The sequence below is a fragment of the Homo sapiens genome, chromosome 11 (genome assembly GCF_000001405.40).
Source record: "Homo sapiens chromosome 11, GRCh38.p14 Primary Assembly".
In the NCBI taxonomy this organism is placed as follows: domain Eukaryota; kingdom Metazoa; phylum Chordata; class Mammalia; order Primates; family Hominidae; genus Homo; species Homo sapiens.
In genome coordinates this window covers 115,991,016-116,010,510 of record NC_000011.10, presented here as the reverse complement: position 1 = coordinate 116,010,510, position 19,495 = coordinate 115,991,016, and the positions used below count along the sequence as shown (strand labels likewise).

Sequence of the window (19,495 nt, the reverse complement as noted above, 5' to 3'; positions counted from 1 at the left end):
CTAGTTCTAGATCCCTGAGGAATCGCCACACTGATTTCCACAATGGTTGAACTAGTTTACAGTCCCACCAACAGTGTAAAAGTGTTCCTATTTCTACACATCCTCTCCAGCACCTGTTGTTTCCTGACTTTTTGATGATCACTGTTCTAACTGGTGTGAGATGATATTTCATTGTGGTTTTGATTTGCATTTCTCTGATGGCCAGTGATGATGAGCATTTTTTCATGTGTCCTTTGGCTGCATAAATGTCTTCTTTTGAGAAGTGTCTGTTCATATCCTTTGCCTGCTTTTTGATGGGGTTGTTTGTTTTTTTCTTGTAAATTTGTTTGAGTTCATTGTAGATTCTGGATATTAGCCCTTTGTCAGATGAGTAGGTTGCAAAAATGTTCTCCCATTCTGTAGGCTGCCTGTTCACTCTGATGGTAGTTTCTTTTGCTGTGCAGAAGCTCTTGAGTTTAATTAGATCCCATTTGTCAATTTTGGCTTTTGTTGCCATTGCTTTTGGTGTTTTAGACATGAAGTCCTTGCCCAAGCCAATGTCCTGAATGGTATTGCCTAGGTTTTCTTCTAGGGTTTTTATGGCTTTAGGTCTAACATGTAAGTCTTTAATCCATCTTGAATTAATTTTTGTATAAGGTGTAAGGAAGGGATCCAGTTTCAGCTTTCTACATATGGCTAGCCAGTTTTCCCAGCACCATTTATTAAATAGGGAATCCTTTCCCCGTTTCTTGTTTTTGTCAGGTTTGTCAAAGATCAGATAGTTGTAGACATGTGGCATTATTTCTGAGGGCTGTGTTCTGTTCCATTGGTCTATATCTCTGTTTTGGTACCAGTACCATGCTGTTTTGGTTACTGTAGCCTTGTAGTATAGTTTGAAGTCAGGTAGCATGATGCCTCCAGCTTTGTTCTTTTGGCTTAGGATTGACTTGGCGACGTGGGCTCTTTTTTGGTTTCATATGAACTTTAAAGTAGTCTTTTCCAATTCTGTGAAGAAAGTCATTGGTAGCTTGATGGAGATGGCATTGAATCTATAAATTACCTTGGGCAGTATGGCCATTTTCACGATATTGATTCTTGCTACCCATGAGCATAGAATGTTCTTCCATTTGTTTGTATCCTCTTTTATTTCATTGAGCAGTGGTTTGTAGTTCTCCTTGAAGAGGTCCTTCACATCCCTTGTAAGTTGGATTCCTAGATATTTTATTCTCTTTGAAGGAATTGTGAATGGGAGTTCATTCATGATTTGGCTCTCTGTTTTTCTGTTACTGGTGTATAAGAATGCTTGTGATTTTTGCACATTGCTTTTGTATCCTGAGACTTTGCTGAAGTTGCCTATCAGCTTAAGGAGATTTTGGGCTGAGACAATGGCGTTTTCTAGATATACAATCATGTCATCTGCAAACAGGGACAATTTGACTTCCTCTTTTCCTAATTGAATACCCTTTATTTCCTTCTCCTGCCTGATTGCCCTGGCCAGAACTTCCAACACTATGTTGAATGGGAGTGGTGAGAGAGGGCATTCCTGTCTTGTGCCAGTTTTCAAAGGAAATGCTTCCAGTTTTTGCCCATTCAGTATGATAGTGGCTGTGGGTTTGTCATAGATAGCTCTTATAATTTTGAGATATGTCCCATCAATACCGAATTTATTGAGAGTTTTTAGCATGAAGGGTTGTTGAATTTTGTCAAAGGCCTTTTCTGCATCTATTGAGATAATCACGTGGTTTTTGTCTTTGGTTCTGTTTATATGCTGGATTACATTTATTGATTTGCGTATGTTGAACCAGCCTTGCAACCCAGGGATGAAGCCCACTTGATCATGTTGGATAAGCTTTTTGATGTGCTGCTGGATTCGGTTTGCCGAATCCAGTATTTTATTGAGGGTTTTTGCATCGATGTTCATCAAGGATGTTGGTCTAAAATTCTCTTTTTTTGTTGTGTCTCTGCCAGGCTTTGGTATCAGGATGATGCTGGCCTCATAAAATGAGTTAGGGAGGATTCCCTCTTTTTCTATTGATTGGAATAGTTTCAGAAGGAATGGTACCAGTTCCTCCTTGTACCTCTGGTAGAATTTGGCTGTGAATCCATCTGGTCCTGGACTTTTTTTGGTTGGTAAGCTATTGATTATTGCCTCACTTTCAGAGTCTGTTATTGGTCTATTCAGAGACTCAACTTCTTCCTGGTTTAGTCTTGGGAGAGTGTATGTGTCGAGGAATTTATCCATTTCTTCTAGATTTTCTAGTTTATTTGCATAGAGGTGTTTATAGTATTCTCTGATGGTAGTTTGTATTTCTGTGGGATCAGTGGTGATATCCCCTTTATCATTTTTTATTGCATCTATTTGATTCTTCTCTCTTTTCTTCTTTATTAGTCTAGCTAGTGGTCTATCAATTTTGTTGATCTTTTCAAAAAACCAGCTCCTGAATCCATTGATTTTTTGAAGGGATTTTTGTGTCTCTATCTCCTTCAGTTCTGCTCTGATCTTAGTTATTTCTTGCCTTCTGCTAGCTTTTGAATGTGTGTGCTCTTGCTTCTCTAGTTCTTTTAATTGTGATGTTAGGGTGTCAATTTTAGATCTTTCCTGCTTTCTCTTGTGGGCATTTAGTGCTATAAATTTCCCTCTACACACTGCTTTGAATGTGTCCCAGAGATTCTGGTATGTTGTGTCTTTGTTCTTGTTGGTTTCAAAGAACGTTTTTATTTCTGCCTTCATTTCATTATGTACCCAGTAGTCATTCAGGAGCAGGTTGTTCAGTTTCCATGTAGTTGAGTGGTTTTGAGTGAGTTCCTTAATCCTGAGTTCTAGTTTGATTGCACTGTGGTCTGAGAGGCAGTTTGTTATGATTTCTGTTCTTTTACATTTGCTGAGGAGTGCTTTACTTCCAACTATGTGGTCAATTTTGGAATAGGTGTGGTGTGGTGCTGAAAAGAATGTATATTCTGTTGATTTGGGGTGGAGAGTTCTGTAGATTTCTATTAGGTCTGCTTGGTGCAGAGCTGAGTTTAATTCCTGGATATCCTTGTTAACTTTCTGTCTCGTTGATCTGTCTAATGTTGAGTGGGGTGTTAAAGTCTCCCATTATTATTGTGTGGGAGTCTAAGTCTCTTTCTAGGTCTCTAAGGACTTCCTTTATGAATCTGGGTGCTCCTGTATTGGGTGTATATATATTTAGGATAGTTAGCTCTTCTTGTTGAATTGATTCCTTTACCATTATGTAATGGCCTTCTTTGTCTCTTTTGATCTTTGTTGGTTTAAAGTCTGTTTTATCAGAGATTAGGATTGCAACCCCTGCCTTTTTTTGTTTTCCATTTGCTTGGTAGATCTTCCTCCATCCCTTTATTTTGAGCCTATGTGTGTCTCCGCACGTGAGATGGGTTTCCTGAATACAGCACACTGATGGGTCTTGAATCTTTATCCAATTTGCCAGTCTGTGTCTTTTAATTGGAGCATTTAGCCCATTTACATTTAAGGTTAATATTGTTATGTGTGAATTTGATCCTATCATTATGATGTTAGCTGGTTATTTTGCTCGTTAGTTGATGCAGTTTCTTCCTAGCCTTGATGGTCTTTACAATTTGGCATGTTTTTGCAGTGGCTGGTACCGGTTGTTCCTTTCCATGGTTAGTGCTTCCTTCAGGAGCTCTTTTAGGGCAGGCCTGGTGGTGATAAAATCTCTCAGCATTTGCTTGGCTGTAAAGTATTTTATTTCTCCTTCACTTATGAAGCTTAGTTTGGCTGGATATGAAATTCTGGGTTGAAGAATGTTGAATATTTGCCCCCACTCTCTTCTGGCTTGTAGAGTTTCTGCCGAGAGATCAGCTGTTAGTCTGATGGGCTTCCCTTTGTGGGTAACCCGACCTTTCTCTCTGGCTGCCCTTAACATTTTTTCCTTCATTTCAACTTTGGTGAATCTGACAATTATGTGTCTTGGAGTTGCTCTTCTTGAGGAATATCTTTGTGGCGTTCTCTGTATTTCCTGAATTTGAATGTTGGCCTGCCTTGCTAGATTGGGAAGTTCTCCTGGAAAATATCCTGCAAAGTGTTTTCCAACTTGGTTCCATTCTCCCCGTCACTTTCAGGTACACCAATCAGATGTAGATTTGGTCTTTTCACATAGTCCCATATTTCTTGGAGGCTTTGTTCGTTTATTTTTATTCTTTTTTCTCTAAACTGCTCTTCTCACTTCATTTCATTCATTTGATCTTCCATCACTGATGCCCTTTCTTGCAGTTATCAAATCGGCTACTGAGGCTTGTGCATTTGTCATATAGTTCTCCTGCCTTGGTTTTCAGCTCCCTCAGGTCCTTTAAAGACTTCTCTGCATTGGTTATTCTAGTTAGCCATTCGTCTAATTTTTTTTTCAAGGTTTTTAACTTCTTTGCCATGGGTTCGAACTTCCTCCTTTAGCTTGGAGTAGTTTGATCATCTGAAGCCTTCTTCTCTCAACTCGTCAAAGTCATTCTCCATCCAGCTTTATTCCATTGCGGGTGAGGAGCTGCATTCCTTTGGAGGGGAGAGGCACTCTGATTTTTAGAGTTTCCAGTTTTTCTGCTCTGTTTTTTCTTCATCTTCGTGGTTTTATCTACCTTTGGTCTTTGATGATGGTGACATACAGATGGGGTTTTTGGTGTGGATGTCCTTTCTGTTTGTTAGTTTTCCTTCTAACAGTCAGGACCCTCAGCTGCAGGTCTGTTGGAGTTTGCTGGAGGTTCACTCCAGACCCTGTTTGCCTGGGTATCAGCAGCGGAGGCTGCAGAACAGTGGATATTGGTGAACAGGAAATGTTGCTGCCTGATCGTTCCTCTGGAAGTTTTGCCTCAGAGGGGTACCCGGCCGTGTGAGGTGTCAGTCTGTCCCTACTGGGGGTTGCCTCCAAGTTAGGCTACTTGGGGGTCAGGGACGCACTTGAAGAGGCAGTCTGTCAGTTCTCAGATCTCAAGCTGCGTGCTGGGAGAACCACTACTCTCTTCAAAGCTGTCAGACAGGGTCATTTAAGTCTGCAGAGATTTCTGCTGCCTTTTGTTTGGTTATGCCCTGCCCCTAGAGGTGGAGTCTACAAGGCAGGCAGGCCTCCTTGAGCTGTGGTGGGCTCCACCCAGTTTGAGCTTCCCAGCTGCTTTGTTTACCTACTCAAGCCTTGGCAATGGGGGGTGCCCCTCCCCCAGCCTCACTGTTGCCTTGCAGTTTGACCTCAGACTGCTGTGCTAGCAGTGAGCAAGGCTCCGTGGGCGTAGGACCCTCTGAGTCACGCACGGGATATAATCTCCTGGTGTGCCGTTTGCTAAGACCATTGGAAAAGTGCAGTATTAGGGTGGGAGTGACCCGATTTTCCAGGTGCCATCTGTCACCGCTTTCTTTGATTAGGAAAGGGAATTCCCTGACCCCTTGCGCTTCCCGGGTGAGGCAATGCCTCGCCCTGCTTCAGCTCACACTTGGTGCACTGCACCCACTGTCCTGCACCTGCTGTCCGACACTCCCCAGTGAGATGAACCCGGTACCTCAGTTGGAAATGCAGAAATCACCCATCTTCTGCGTCGCTCACACTGGGAGCTGCAGACTGGAGCTCTTCCTATTCGGCCATCTTGAAATGCCGGACCGAGGGTTATATTTTGGATTTATTAAAATGTTTTAGAACTACCTAGAGGTAGTGGTTGCACAACATTGTGAAAGTACCAAATGCTACTGAGTCGTACACTTTAAAATGTTTAATTATATGTTATGTAAATTTTACCTCAATTTAAAAACAACTAAAAATAATAAATAATTTTAAAAATAAAGGTATACAGAGTGAAATAAAGGAAGTAATACTATCTTTATTTGCACATGACATTATAGTTTTACAGAAAATTATAAGGAATTTACAATAACATCTATAGAACAAATATGTGACTTTATCATGTTTATAAGATGCAAGGGCAATATACCAATATTAACTATATTTTTATATGTTATCAGTAAACAATTTAAAAATGAAATAAGAAATGATATTATTAATACTAGTATAAAAATGAAAATATGTAGGGATAAATTTAACAAAATATGTGCAAGATCAATATCTTGAAAACTACAAAATACTGTTGAGAGGGATTTTTAAAGATGTAAATAAATGGCATGACATACCATGTTCATGGATCAAAAGACTCAATAGTGTTAAGATGTCAGTTGTCCCTAATTTACTCTACAGTTTCAAACTATTCCTATTAAAGTCCTAGCAGCCTTCTTTTTTAGAAAATAGCAAGTTGATTCTAAAATTTATATGGAAATGCAATGAATTTAGACTTGTGAAAATATTTTTTTGAAAAATAACAGCTATGAAAGATTTATATTGTATGATTTCCAGACTTACTATAAAGCTATAGTAATACACAGGTACTCACATAAAGATAGGTTTTTTGGATCAATGGAGAGGAATCAAAGGTCCAGAAATAGACCTTCACATATATGGTAAATTGATTTTCAACAAAGATCACAAGATAAATCGCTGAAGAAAGAAAAGTATTTTCAACAAATGGTGCTGAGATAACTGGATATCTACATGAAAAAAAGTAAAACTCAGCCTTCTCCTAATAACATACAAAAAAATGAACTGAAAATGGATCATAGACCTAAACACAAAAGCTAAAATTACAATATTTCCAGACAAAAAAATCACAGCATAAAATTGTCATGACTTTGAGGTAGGCAAATATTTCTTGAATAAAACACAAAAAGCAAAAGCCCTAAAGAAAATAATTACTAATTTAAAAATTTTAAACTAGCAAAATGAAAAGGTAAACCACAAACTAGAATAAAATGTTCTCAATACATGTATTTTACAAGGAATTTTAATCCAGATTATGTAAAGAACTTATTCCAGCTTAATAAGAAGAAAATAATCCAATGAAATGTTGGTAAACATTTAAGACAGTTCACAAAGAATATATACCATGAAAAGATGCTGAACATCATTAGTCATAAGGGAAAAGTAAATTAAAGCCATACCATGAGATACCTTTATTATACCTACTAGAATGATTAAAATTAAAAAGACACATTACCAAGTGTTGGTAAGGAATTGAAGCTACAGGAACTCTCATACCCTGTTGGTAGAAATAAAAAAAATGGCACGAACACCTTGAAAAACAGCTTGACAGTTTCTTAAGAAGTTAAATATACCCTTACCATACATAAACTATGGCAATATCCTTTCTAGCCTCTCTCTTGTGGACACATTAGACATTACCATGTCTAGTGAATGTGCACAAGAAAACAAATTCAAGGATTCTCTTGATAGCATTGCTTCTAATAGTGAATAAATGGAAATAAACTGTGCCTTATCAGGCAACTAACAAACTGTGGTTTACTCATACAGTGAAATACTATATAATAATTACAGTGAATAGACTACAGCCACCATATATCAACATGAAGAAAGCTCATAAGAAAAAGTCGAGTGAAAAAATTAATTGTAATAGGGTATGTATTATTTGCAGACACACATAAATAGTAAAAGCACGAAACACAAATGGACATTACACAAACTTCAAGTTAGTAGATATCTATGGGGTGAATAGATGGGAGAAGAATGTAGGTGGGACCTTATCTGTAACTGAAATTATTTCTTTTAAAAAACAGAGATCTGAAGCAGATATGACAACATATTAATTTCTGTTTAATTTCAGTTGTAGAAAAACAAATGTTTATTATATTTTGAAAATGTCTCTGTTTTTTGTGTTTTGTAACATAAAACAGGAAGAAACTGGCCCATCCTCAAAGAGAGGGGAAGGTCAGTCCAATGAGTTTGGTTTGCTGAGCCCCACTCAGGAATTCATGGAGAAATCAAGTTCCATGTGGCTTCCATTGCACCTTCCAGAAAAGAGTCAGAAAATACACCCAGGAGACCATGCCAGAGAGGAAGGTGTAAGATTCTGGAAACTGCAGCCTCCTACATTTGGTACCTGCCACTTTCACTTCAGTTTCTGACAGCAATCAGCAGGTTCTCAGAACCAAAAGGGCCTGCAGGATTGTCCTCAGAAGCATCAGGGATGTGAGGGCTGGGAAGGCTGAGTTTCACTCTGCAGCCAGGTTTGAAGAGATAGAGCCTGAGCAAAAAAATGGGGATGGTTTCAGTTAATGCAGTGAGAGGAAACAGTATAGCCCTGGTGTGGAGAAGAAGGAGAATAAGTGAACTTAATGAGATCCTCATTCTACACAGATTCCTGAAATGCCCTAACATACAATCACATTGCCATAAGCACTTAGAGTCTTCTTCTGCATACTGCTCCATGGGAATATTTCAGAATTCTTGGAGAGCTGATCCAACACAATAGATCCTAAGTTCCTTGACCTTTCTTAATCCCACTGAACATTGTTTCCACTCCTATATGGCTGTGTCTTACCTATATATCATCATTTGGCTCTTCCTTCAGTGTGAAAACTTCAAATCTAGAGGCCCTTCTCTGCCAAAATAAGTGTATCAGGTCTTTTACTTTCTAATTCCCATTGTACTTGCTCTTCAATCCCAGTGATGTCTCCGGCCTGTGAATCCCTCATTTTCCTTTTATCTATCAACTACCTTTTAATTTCATTCTTTTACCAACCATGAAACCCACATGGATATCTTGAGTTATTCACTTGTAACTTCAACTCTTTTCTCCCATTTTCTTACTTGGCATTCTTTCCAAATTCATTCTGCAATCTATATTCTCTGTCCCTAAACATGTATGGCTGAGAAGAGCCAGAGAAAATTTTATATCCATACAAGCTGACATTATTGGAAATTTATAATTTCCAATATGAACTGGTTTTCAATTCTGTTTAACAAACCTTTCCTTTGGCTTAGACAATTCACTGTCAATATTCCTTTAGAAGATATTCCAAACCCATCTTTTCCTTAATCATTCTCTGAACCTCTGGCTTTCTACTTCACAAAGAATAAGAAGGCTATCAGGTGTGAGTTAAGTATACCTGTGTCTAAACCCACAATGGGATACTTTGTAATCTCTACAATCATATGACCCTCTGTTCAAGGTTTATCATTCCCACCTACTTTGGGCCATTTTTCCTTCTCTTATTCCTTCAGGATCAAATTCATTCTCTTTTCTGCCTTTATCCTTTTGATACATAAATATCTGCAAGGCTTTACCATCTTAAAATCAAACAAGCAAAAACATTTACAAAAAATCATCCACACTTCCCCATCCACTTAAAAAATTATAAAGTTTCCTAATATATATTTTTCTAATATAGAGATGTATTCTAATATATGTAATTCATATACATATATACATGATTGTGTTTGTGTGTCCTTCACTTTCCGTATACCCCATGAGTCACAGCTCATGGCTCTTACTCTTTTACTACACTACTAAAAGTACTCTGGCAAGTCACCAGTGACCTTCTATGTTCATATCCAGTGACCACTTTTCTGTCTTATTTACCTGTGCTTCCTACAATATTTGATACTACTGATCAACCTCTCCCACTTTCAAGGAATAATTCACTTCCTAGTGGCATGACATTGTGATATAATAAGAAATACATACTTGGTCTCTGCCCCCAGTTTCTGTCAAAGAGCTCCTAAAATCTTTGGAATTTCCTAGGCAATAAGGACGTCTTGTGTTTTAATGAGGTGACTCTTGGTAGGCTCCTGGATGGAGGTTGGTTACCAGAAAGACCAAGCCAGGATTAAAAGCTTGGGACTTTCAGCCCCACTGCCTGACTTCCAGGAAGAGAAGAAAGGCTGGAGATTGAGTTAAATAATAGATCATGCCTACATCATGAAGCCTCCATAAAAATCCCTGAACTACAGGGTTCAGAGCAGTTCCAGGCTGTTGAACACATGAAGGTGCTGTGAGGGTGGTGTACGCAGAAAGGCTTGGAAACTCTATGCCTCTTCCCATACACTTTGCCCCAGGTAACTTTTCATTTCACTGTTCATCTGTGTCCTTTGTAATATAGTTTACAAGAAACCAGTAAGCACATGTTTCTCTGAGTCATCCTAGGAAGCTATGGAACCCAAGGAGGGGATTGTGGGAACCCTGATTTAAAGCTGGAGGGTCAGAAGCAAAGGTCACAATCTGGGAGTTGCAACTGAAATATGAAGTGGGAGGCAGTCTTGTGGGTCTGAGTCCTTGACTTGTAGAGTCTGTGCTATCTCCAAGTAGACAGTGTTGGAATCCAGTTAAGTTGCAGGATATCCAGCTACATCTGGGTGTCAGAGAATTGGTTGGGAATGCATGTGAGGGGGAAAAAACCACACATTTTGGTGGCCAGGAGTAAAGTCTTGGTTGTTGAGTGAGAGTAATAGAGTGGAGAAAAATGGAGTTAGTTTGTTTTTCCATGTTCACTTGGTTTCCTCCATATCATGCTCCCCTGAAGCTTCTGCTATCTCTCTCCCTTTGCACTCAGTGCCCTTTACTCAGGTCTCATTCATTGTTTGTCTCTTTAATACTTGACTTTGACCCTCTCTCTTCTCAATCTACAAACTCTACGTGGGTGAATGCAGTGACTGCCCCTGTTCCCATGGCTTCCACACCACCTCAATCCTGACAACCGTAAAAACCTATACTGTATTTCCAATTCATATTTCCTTTCCTGAGCCCCAGTTCCTCATACTTAGCCATTTGCTGGTCATCTACTGTAGCATACAAAATTCGACATGTCTAAATCCATACCCTGTAGAATGTCTTTTCCTCCTAAATTCTCTGTTTTGCTTGGTGAAACTCCTGTCCTCTCAAATTCCAATACCAGCAACCTAGAATTTAACTTCTCCTTTTCCCTCCATGTACATCCAGTGAATAATTAAGACTTCTCTCAAGTATACCAAAGTATTTCTTGAAAGAGGCAGAAGAATTTAGTGGTTAGAAAGAGGATCACTTGAGCCAAACTGCATGGGTTTGTAGGCTGGTTTTGCCACTTACCAGCTGTTGACCTTGGTGAAGTTACTTATTTTCTCTGTGCCTCAATGTCCTCATATATGCAAAAGGAATGATAATAATAGTACCTACTTCATAGAGTTGTTGAAGATTTAAACAAATACATAAAAAGCATCTAGAAAGTAGCCCACAATAATCATTTGGTAACTCATTATCATTATATTATTATTAATTTCTTGTAATTTTCACAGCCACATATCTGTGCAGATATCCATCATCTCTTTCCTCAGTCTTCTGTCCCTTCTCTCCTTCCGAGAAGGCTTAGGGGTTTTGGTACTGAGGTCTTGGAGTGGGAGTGGTCAGAGCTGTCTCATAGCAAGCAGCAAGGCAGGAATCCAAAGCCACTCATTATTTGGCTCCTGAGTAAGTGCAGACTGGGAAGCAAAAGAAGGTACAAAAAGACATCAGGGGAGGGAATCAAGAAGAACTGAGTCTGAAGGGAAGGGCTGGCCACCCAAATTGGACCGAGACAAATGAAGAATGTTCAGAGGTGGAGCTGGAGATGTTCCAAGGCAAAATATGAAATTGAATAGCGAGAAAATATATTTCAGAGAAATAGTCTCCTAACTCAGTGTTCTGCAGTCCATGCTGTATATTAATATCACCTGAGGAGCATTTATGACCTACTGAAGCCGAGGTGCAGCCCAGGCAGATTTAATCAGAATCTCAGGATTGAGGTCACAATACCATGATTATTTTTTAATTCCCCGGGTAATTCTAATGTGTGGCATGTGGCTAGGGTTGGGAATTAGTGTCCTAATTTTGATAACTTACTTCTCCAACACCATCCCTACCTGTCATATATACACACGGGCAGTTTGCACTTGCTTTTGTTAAGGCAAAGCTGGTCATGACATTATCTAGTCTAAAGCCCTTCAAGGGCTCTCCATAATCCTATAGGACAAAAAATCCCAATTCCATAGCATATAAAAAGCCTTTCCTGATTATAGCCTTCTCTACTTCCTGCTGGTTTTTGAGAGCCAATTGAGCATATTTTTTTCCCAGCTTTGAGTTTAATGATGTCTTGGAAGTTTGAAATCAGCCATGTTGGGTATGTTTACACTATAGAAATTGGCATGCTAAAAATCAGGGTTCCCGTAACCCCACCCCAAAATGCTGGTTGTTCAAATTTTACCAGCTCATCACTGCTTTCTCTCACATTTTCCACATTGAAATGTTAGATATACTCTACTGAAATGTTAGACAACTTGAACTTTCTAGAACATGGCCTTTCAGAAGCTGTTCCTTCTACTTATAATATTTTTGTCTTTTCTTATTAACGATGCACATTTCTTTTACCCTTCAAGTCTCAATTGAAACATCACTCTCCCTATGAATGCTCTCCCATCCACTCCAAGAAGAGTGGGTCTCTTCCTTCCCTGTTACCGCTACACATCATTGGTGTGATATTTAATGATTGTGTTTTGCTGCATGTAATAACCTGAATTGCTTGTGTACTTACATGGTGTTTTTCCCCATCATACTGTGAACCCCTTCTTGTCAAGGACCATCTCTCTGTCATCTTTGGATGTCTATTAGCCTATCATAGTGCCTGGCATATAGTAGACACTCAATAATTGTTTCTGCAATGAATAAATGGGAGGATGAATGAATAAACCCATTGGAGGGGAATATTCAGAACAAAGAGCTTGGAGCAATACCAAAATGCCTCATTTTGGAGGGCATTTAATGCCAGATTTGGACTTTATCTTATAGTAAATGGAGAACCACTGAAGTTTTTCTGACAAGGGAAGTGACCTGTAACAAACCTTGTTTAGGATGGTTAGTCTGACAGTAGTGTTCAGAGGGGAATGAGAGAAGAGGAATCGGAGGAAAGAACTCTGGTCAAGGGGATCAGAAATTGAATAGGTGAAAAGGTAGAGTCAGAAAGTGGGCTCAGCAGAGGCACGCCTACCAGTCACTGGCATCCTGGGATGAGCATGGGGGAGAATTAATGTGATAGTGAGAAGCCCAGAAATAATAAGGAGAATTTGGTTTGCTTGCCTTGAAGAATAGAAAATGTAAGGATACGTGATGGCTCTCTTCAAATCTTTGACAGCTACTCCCAGGGGAACAGAAATTAGCCAATTTATTTCTGTATTCTGAGTTTCCCAGAGGTCAGAACTAAGACAAATATAAGGAAGACTTTTTTTTATCCATTAGACATGTCTAAAAATGGAGCAAGCTGCCTAAAGAAGTAGTGAGTACCTTGTCACAGGAAATGATCAAGCAGGGCAATTGGTAGGGTATATTACAGAGGGAATCCAAGAATTAGACCAGGTAATTTTTCTGGCACTTAAGATTCTGTTATTTTCTGCTGGATTCTGTCCCATTGAATTTGAGATAACAGTGCAATTTTCAGATGCAGTGTCCAGGAGCTGGAGTTCCTGGACATAAAGCCAACGAGACCTCTCAGGGACAAAACTGTACTCTGAGTGTTGGGTGCCCAAGCCCAGTACTGTTTACATTATACCATAGTTATCCCAAAGAAAACAGCCAGTGACAAAAAGTGGCAGTGCTGTGTTGAGTCATCTCCGTGACTTCTCGAACCCCAGGAGGGTGTCAGGAGGCCATGAAGAAAATGCCCCACAGCAGCTTTCCTTCCCCTTCTTAGCTTCAGAAGATGACCTCACTGTGTTTTCCTCCAACAATAGGGTGTTCCTCAAGTTCTCTTTTCTCCAGCACAGCGTTTCTTCTGCCTTTACACCCTCAAAGGCCCTCTGTCTTGCTGTGACATAGTCCTCCACATGTGTTCTTGGTCCCATTTCCCTTCTCCCCCTTCTAGGATCTTCCTCCATCTCTCTTGGTAACCAATCTTTGCTTTTTATTGGTTCTAAACATTTATAAGTATTTTTATCCTAGAACAAAAAAGTCCCTAAAATTACTAGTCAGCCTCCATTCACTCAAATTTGTAAAGTGGATGCTCTAGTCTTGTTGCCCTTGACCTTGGCCACATCCTTGCACCTCACACCTTTCTTACAGTCCAACTTCAACCCCAAGGTGCTTTTCTGAAAGACAACCATGTAACACAGCAGAAACAGAATATGATTTGAGATCAGAAGGCCTGGATCAGTTTCTGGATCAGCCACTTACTATCCGAACCTCGCTTTCTTCATCACATTTGTTATGAGCATCAGATGAGCTAATAGATGAGGAAGACGTTTTCTCCCCATGAACTGAAAAACACTGTACAGTTGTTAGTGTTAGTGAAACTGCTGTCACAGAGATGATCAGTGATGTCTTTCACCACCTGCTTCAAGGGCCTTTTCTCGGTTCTCCATCTCATAGTGTCTTGGCCACATTTGAACTTGCTGTGCCCTCCTTTGTGAAACTCTTTACTTCCATGGTTTCCTTTTCATTTGTTTCTAAGAAATTAACATCTCATTTCCAGTTTCCTCTCTGCATCCTCTTTCTCCCGCAACATCCAGATTCCTATAAGTTGTCTTCCCTTTTCTGCTGTTCCTCCTTTACTTCCAAGTGAGGGAATAATCACCCTTCCATGGATTCAACTATCTCTTCTGGATGCATAACCAATTCACATTTCTCTCCCAAGTTTTGGTCCCGGATTTAAAACCCTGCTGGATTTCTCCTCTGGTTTTCCTGCCAGGATCTCAAATTCTTTATTGTTGTCACAAGATAAATCAATGCATCTTTGCAGAGCCTCTGACAAAGTGGTTTGAAAAGGCCAGGGACTGAAATATTATTGGCCAGCCCTGCAAAGGAGTGCACTTATCATCAGGGCCCATCTCCCAAATGCCAATCAGAGAGAACAATTCCTTTTATGTAAACTTCATGTTGTAAATTATAGTATCTGCATGCCAAGTAGAGGATGGTAATATTCACTCCCATGAGTCTCTGGGTATTGCTAAAGCATTTTATGAATTGACAACTCTCCCATATTATCCATCTCTCTGGGTTCTATATTCTTGGTTTTGGAAACTGTCAATGGCCAAAGTCTATAAGCTGAGTTCCTGGGTCCTTCCCAAACCCTCCTTGATGGGTAAACAAGGTGATCATCAAAAGAGTAATAAGACCAATTCTTATCAGATTTCTTTTTCCTGGTCTGAGCCAAGAGAAACCACCCATTTAGTCCAACTGGCCCAGAAATTCTGTCCTTTTAATATTTTGAGTTGTATTAAACTATAAAAAATCTCTTCTTTATATCATAGCAAATATATGTGATCTATCTGTGTTTCCCTCTACTGGTCTCTTTAATTTATGTTAGTGGTAGATGTTTAATAAATGTTAGTTTTCTTTCCCTATTTCCCCTTTCTCTATCAGACTGCCAGAGCCATGAGGGGAGGGACTTAGTATTTCTCATTTTTGTACCCCTAATGCCATGCCTTATTCATCCACACATACACATACACACACACACACACACACACACACACACACAGTTAAATTGAACTTATTAAAGTAAGTATAAAATATCTATGTGGGTGGTGTGGGAATATCCAATTTTTAAACAGTATCAAGAAGGATAAGGTATGATGTCTTTTGCATTGACTGGTGGGGCGTATTATCCATATAATATATCATGGTTGTGTCTGAATGTAGCACTTCTGATCCCCAACCTGTAGCTCCAGAGAACCTTCTCTAGTCTCATCATCTTGTGTCTAACCCCTTAGCATTGACCAGGACCCATTCCCTACTTGCCCCTCAGTATGGCCAGGTAACTGGCAAACGGCAGTGTGCTGGAGGCAGCTCTCACAGGTTAGTGACGATCCATTGTACACATCTCTTCCCAAGTCTGCATTAAGGGATATCACATTGGCAACTTTAAACTGGCAATGTGGGAGTATTTACACCATGGTAACTGGCAACCACTGCAAATCAGGGCTTTCTTTTCCCCCTGAGAGCTGGCTGTAAAACATTTACTGCCACACCATTGTTGTCAACGTTATTCCTCGTTTATCTCTTTGCATGACTGGCTTCTTCTAATCCATAAATTTCAGCTCAAATATCACCTCTTCTGAGAGATATTTTTATCCCAAGTTACCCCCACTCCCTTCACTTTCTATTATATCATCCACTCTTTCCTTCAGAGGGTATATTTCAATCTGTAACTATCTTGTGCATGTATTTTGTGTACTGGTTTATTGTTCATCTTCCTCCCTAGAAACCTTATCTTGTCTCATTCACTGCTGTATTCTCAGTATCTAGTACAGGCTCAGGCACATAGTTGGTGTTTCAAAAATATCTACCTGAAGAATAAATAAAAACAATAAATGATTCTAACATCTCAGGCATCAAAGATGCAAAATACAATAGTTTATATACTTGTGTGTGTCTCCTACTACATTCTGAGTGTTTTGAGATTGATTTTCAACATATTCCCAGGACCTAGCACAGTGCCTGGAACATAGCAGAGGATCATTAAATTTTTAAGATGAATAAATGTAACATTAGAGACCAGCCAACTCATGTAAGTTTCCCTGTAACACCCCAGAGAACTCTATTCCTTCACCTTCGTCAACAGCATAAAAACACTACTGTTTTCTTCTGAGAAAGCAAAACCTCAAGGCAGGAGTTTGTCCCCACCAGCACTGCTGGAAAGACTGGGGTGGCATCAATTTATCTCATCCAACCTGTATTTTTCTTCTCTGACTGGGTCAGAGCAATTCATTATGTCACCCTTAGGCAAGTCCCCAAATGGGAATGAGAAAGGCCATGGCCCCGTCTCTTCCAGTGGGCTGCAGCAGAGATAGCTTTCCTTGCATGGATGAATAGCTGTAAGCCACCTTTGCCCCAGCCTCCTGGAGAAGGCAAAAGAAGTTTTCTAAATGTTTTCCTGCCATGCGGATCACTGAATTATGCATGAGGCCAAACCTAGGGAACAGCAAATTGTTGTGGGATGGAGGGGCAGGGTTCATCCAGAAAGTGAAATCGAAACCTTACTTGCCTCCTCCTCAGGATGGCTTCCCTCAATTGATAAGTAGTGTTATATTATTCCACATCTTTCATATATTATCGATGCATTTGGCAATGATATAATCCTGGCGTCAGGAGTAATTCTTTCTTTTTAATATGCTGCACTTACTACACTGAGGCGAGGCAGCTTGGACACAGGGCCTGGCTGATCCAACTCAAATCAATTAGATCCAGGACTTCTCTGGGCATCGATCGGCAGGATGAGAAAAGATGCATGTTCATGATTTGCCTCAAAAGCAAGAGAGACCATGAGACAGTGAGTCTACAGGAGTCTTCTGGTGATACAGGCGAGAAGGCCTCTTTCTTTCATCTTTGCATGGAAGATGCCAAGTACCTTGCCACCATGGCCATAGTACTCAATATAGGGCTGTGCCATCCACCAGTGGCAAGCGGTGCTGCTCTCAGCTGAAAAAATGGAAAGGATCATCTTCATCTCAGTTGGTACTGCATTCCCAGCAGTGTTTTCTCCCCTGTCTCAGTTCTTTTCCAATGGGTAGTCATGCTTGTGGCCCAGAGGGCTCCAGTCATTTCATAAGGCAGAAGTACCTCTAAATACCCCAAATTACACACTCAGGAGTGGAGTAGGGATGGATGTGGAATCTTTGGATATGGATCTTGGGCAGACAACAAAATCCTTAAACTGAGCAGGGAGAGCCATTGAGGTCAGCTGCTTGCATCTCAGGAAATTCCAGCAAACCTTGAAGAGCAGAGGAGGAGCAGCCTAGTTAGAGATCTACCAGCCAGGCTTTATATTATTCAGGAAAGCATGATCTTGCAATAAAAAATTCTTTTTCTGGAAAGTCACAACCTTCCCACTCACCTCCTGTATAGTGGAATGAGTGTTGGAATTGAAGTAAAAGAAAAAAAAGATATGAGTTGAGTACTGGATTGGCCATTTTTCAAAGCTATGTGTGTGACCTTGGTTGCTTAGTCTCTCTTAACATTATTTATTCCACCAGTCAAATGGGAACAATTATAGATACCCTACATTACTCACAGTTTTGTGAGGGACAAATAAAATAAATAAAATGAGATGATACAAATAGAAGCCATTTGTAGCCAAGTGCCATATGAACTTCAGGGACAATTGATCTTCCCTTCTTCTAGGAAGTGTCCTTTTCTTCTTGGAAATGTTTCCCTCCTAAAAGGAATCATGTGGTTTAAATAAAGGCTGCCATGTTGTTACTCCATGTGTGGGTATCTTTCCAAAGCCAGGTCAGTCATGGCCACCCCTATCATAGCTGTCATCATTGAATGGGATGGCTCTGAGGTGGGCATCTAAACTCCAGTGAGACATTCAGAGCCCTTCCCCAAGGGTTTCCACCTTGCTATGAGAAGAGTGTGAAGCAGTTCTCTCTAGGGGTGGAAGCTGCGAGGTGGGAGGCATGCAGGTTGTTGGTCATTCTGTTCCCTAATGCATGGAGGAAGCCTGCTGCTGAGGGAGAAAATGAAGCTGCACAGAGAGAAAATGAAGAACAAACAGAGATGAAACACAGAGTTATCACGATATGTCTGGTTCAGATTTTCCTGTGGGTCCAAATGAATCCTTTCTTGTCCTATGGCTTGGAAGGATATTATTTCAGCATCCTTCAAATACTTTCCTCTTTTTGCCTAAGCCAGTTTCAATTTTATGTCTGTCACTTACAACCAAAAGAGGCTCCACAGAGAGGCAGCCATTCATTATTTTGGTTCCTAGTTCCAGGTGGGTCGTGGATCTCACATCCTGATCTCTCTGCCTTACTATTCACAGAACTCATTCTCCAAGGCCATTGCACTTGCCTTGTCTTTATTCACACTATGTGTACTTTTCCCATGTTCCAGGGACCCTCCCAAGCTTCTGGGTCTGCCTATAATCTAAGGAAGACATTTGGATATTATCCTGAGGAAACTCACTCAAGCACCATGTCTATAAAAGCACTCGGTTAGAAGGCCAAGTCCACTTATTTATTCTGATGCATCTAATTATTTTATTTTCTATAGCATGCATTTATGTAGAAATTGTCAAATATTTTGTGGAATGGGGTAGGTTAGGTTATAACTAACTAAAAATTGCTAAGCTTTTACCATCAGCTGAGAACTACTGGGAAAAAACAAAAATAAGACATGCCCTGCCCTTGAAATGCATATAGTCTTGCTGAGCAAACAACGAAAAGCTAGAGAACAAGTCAGAAAAATAAAACCTGGCAAATTATGAGACATAGATAAGTGTTTCAAACAATGACAGAAGGTAAGTCTTTGATAGACTAGGGTGTTTAGGGTAGAATTCCTACAAGGTGTAATCTATTGGAATTGTTTTGTTAGACCAACAGAGTATTTAATAGTTTAAAAATTGGTGCTTATTACTTAAAACCAGATTTCATACATTTTAAAAACATGTGTTTCTGGGCCGGGCGCGGTGGCTCACGCTTGTAATCCCAGCACTTTGGGAGGCCAAGGCGGGTAGATCACGAGGTCGGGAGTTCAAGACTAGCCTGGCCAAGATGGTGAAACTCTGTCTCTACTAAAAATACAAAAATTATCTGGGCGTGGTGGTAGGTGCCTGTAATCCCAGCTACTTGAGAGGCTGAGCCAGAGAGTTGCTTGAACCCGTGAGGCGGAGGTTGCAGTGAGCCAAGATGGCGCCACTGCACTCCAGCCTGGGCGACAG

General features: G+C 40.1%; 2 annotated features.

Moving 5' to 3' along the window:
- Positions 13,511-13,660: an enhancer, noted in NCBI's record as "active region_5551". NCBI's record gives its function as "activates an Ori minimal core promoter by ATAC-STARR-seq in GM12878 lymphoblastoid cells {active_cell/tissue: GM12878}" and the evidence as "EXISTENCE:reporter gene assay evidence [ECO:0000049][PMID:35858748]".
- Positions 14,184-14,283: an enhancer, noted in NCBI's record as "active region_5550". NCBI's record gives its function as "activates an Ori minimal core promoter by ATAC-STARR-seq in GM12878 lymphoblastoid cells {active_cell/tissue: GM12878}" and the evidence as "EXISTENCE:reporter gene assay evidence [ECO:0000049][PMID:35858748]".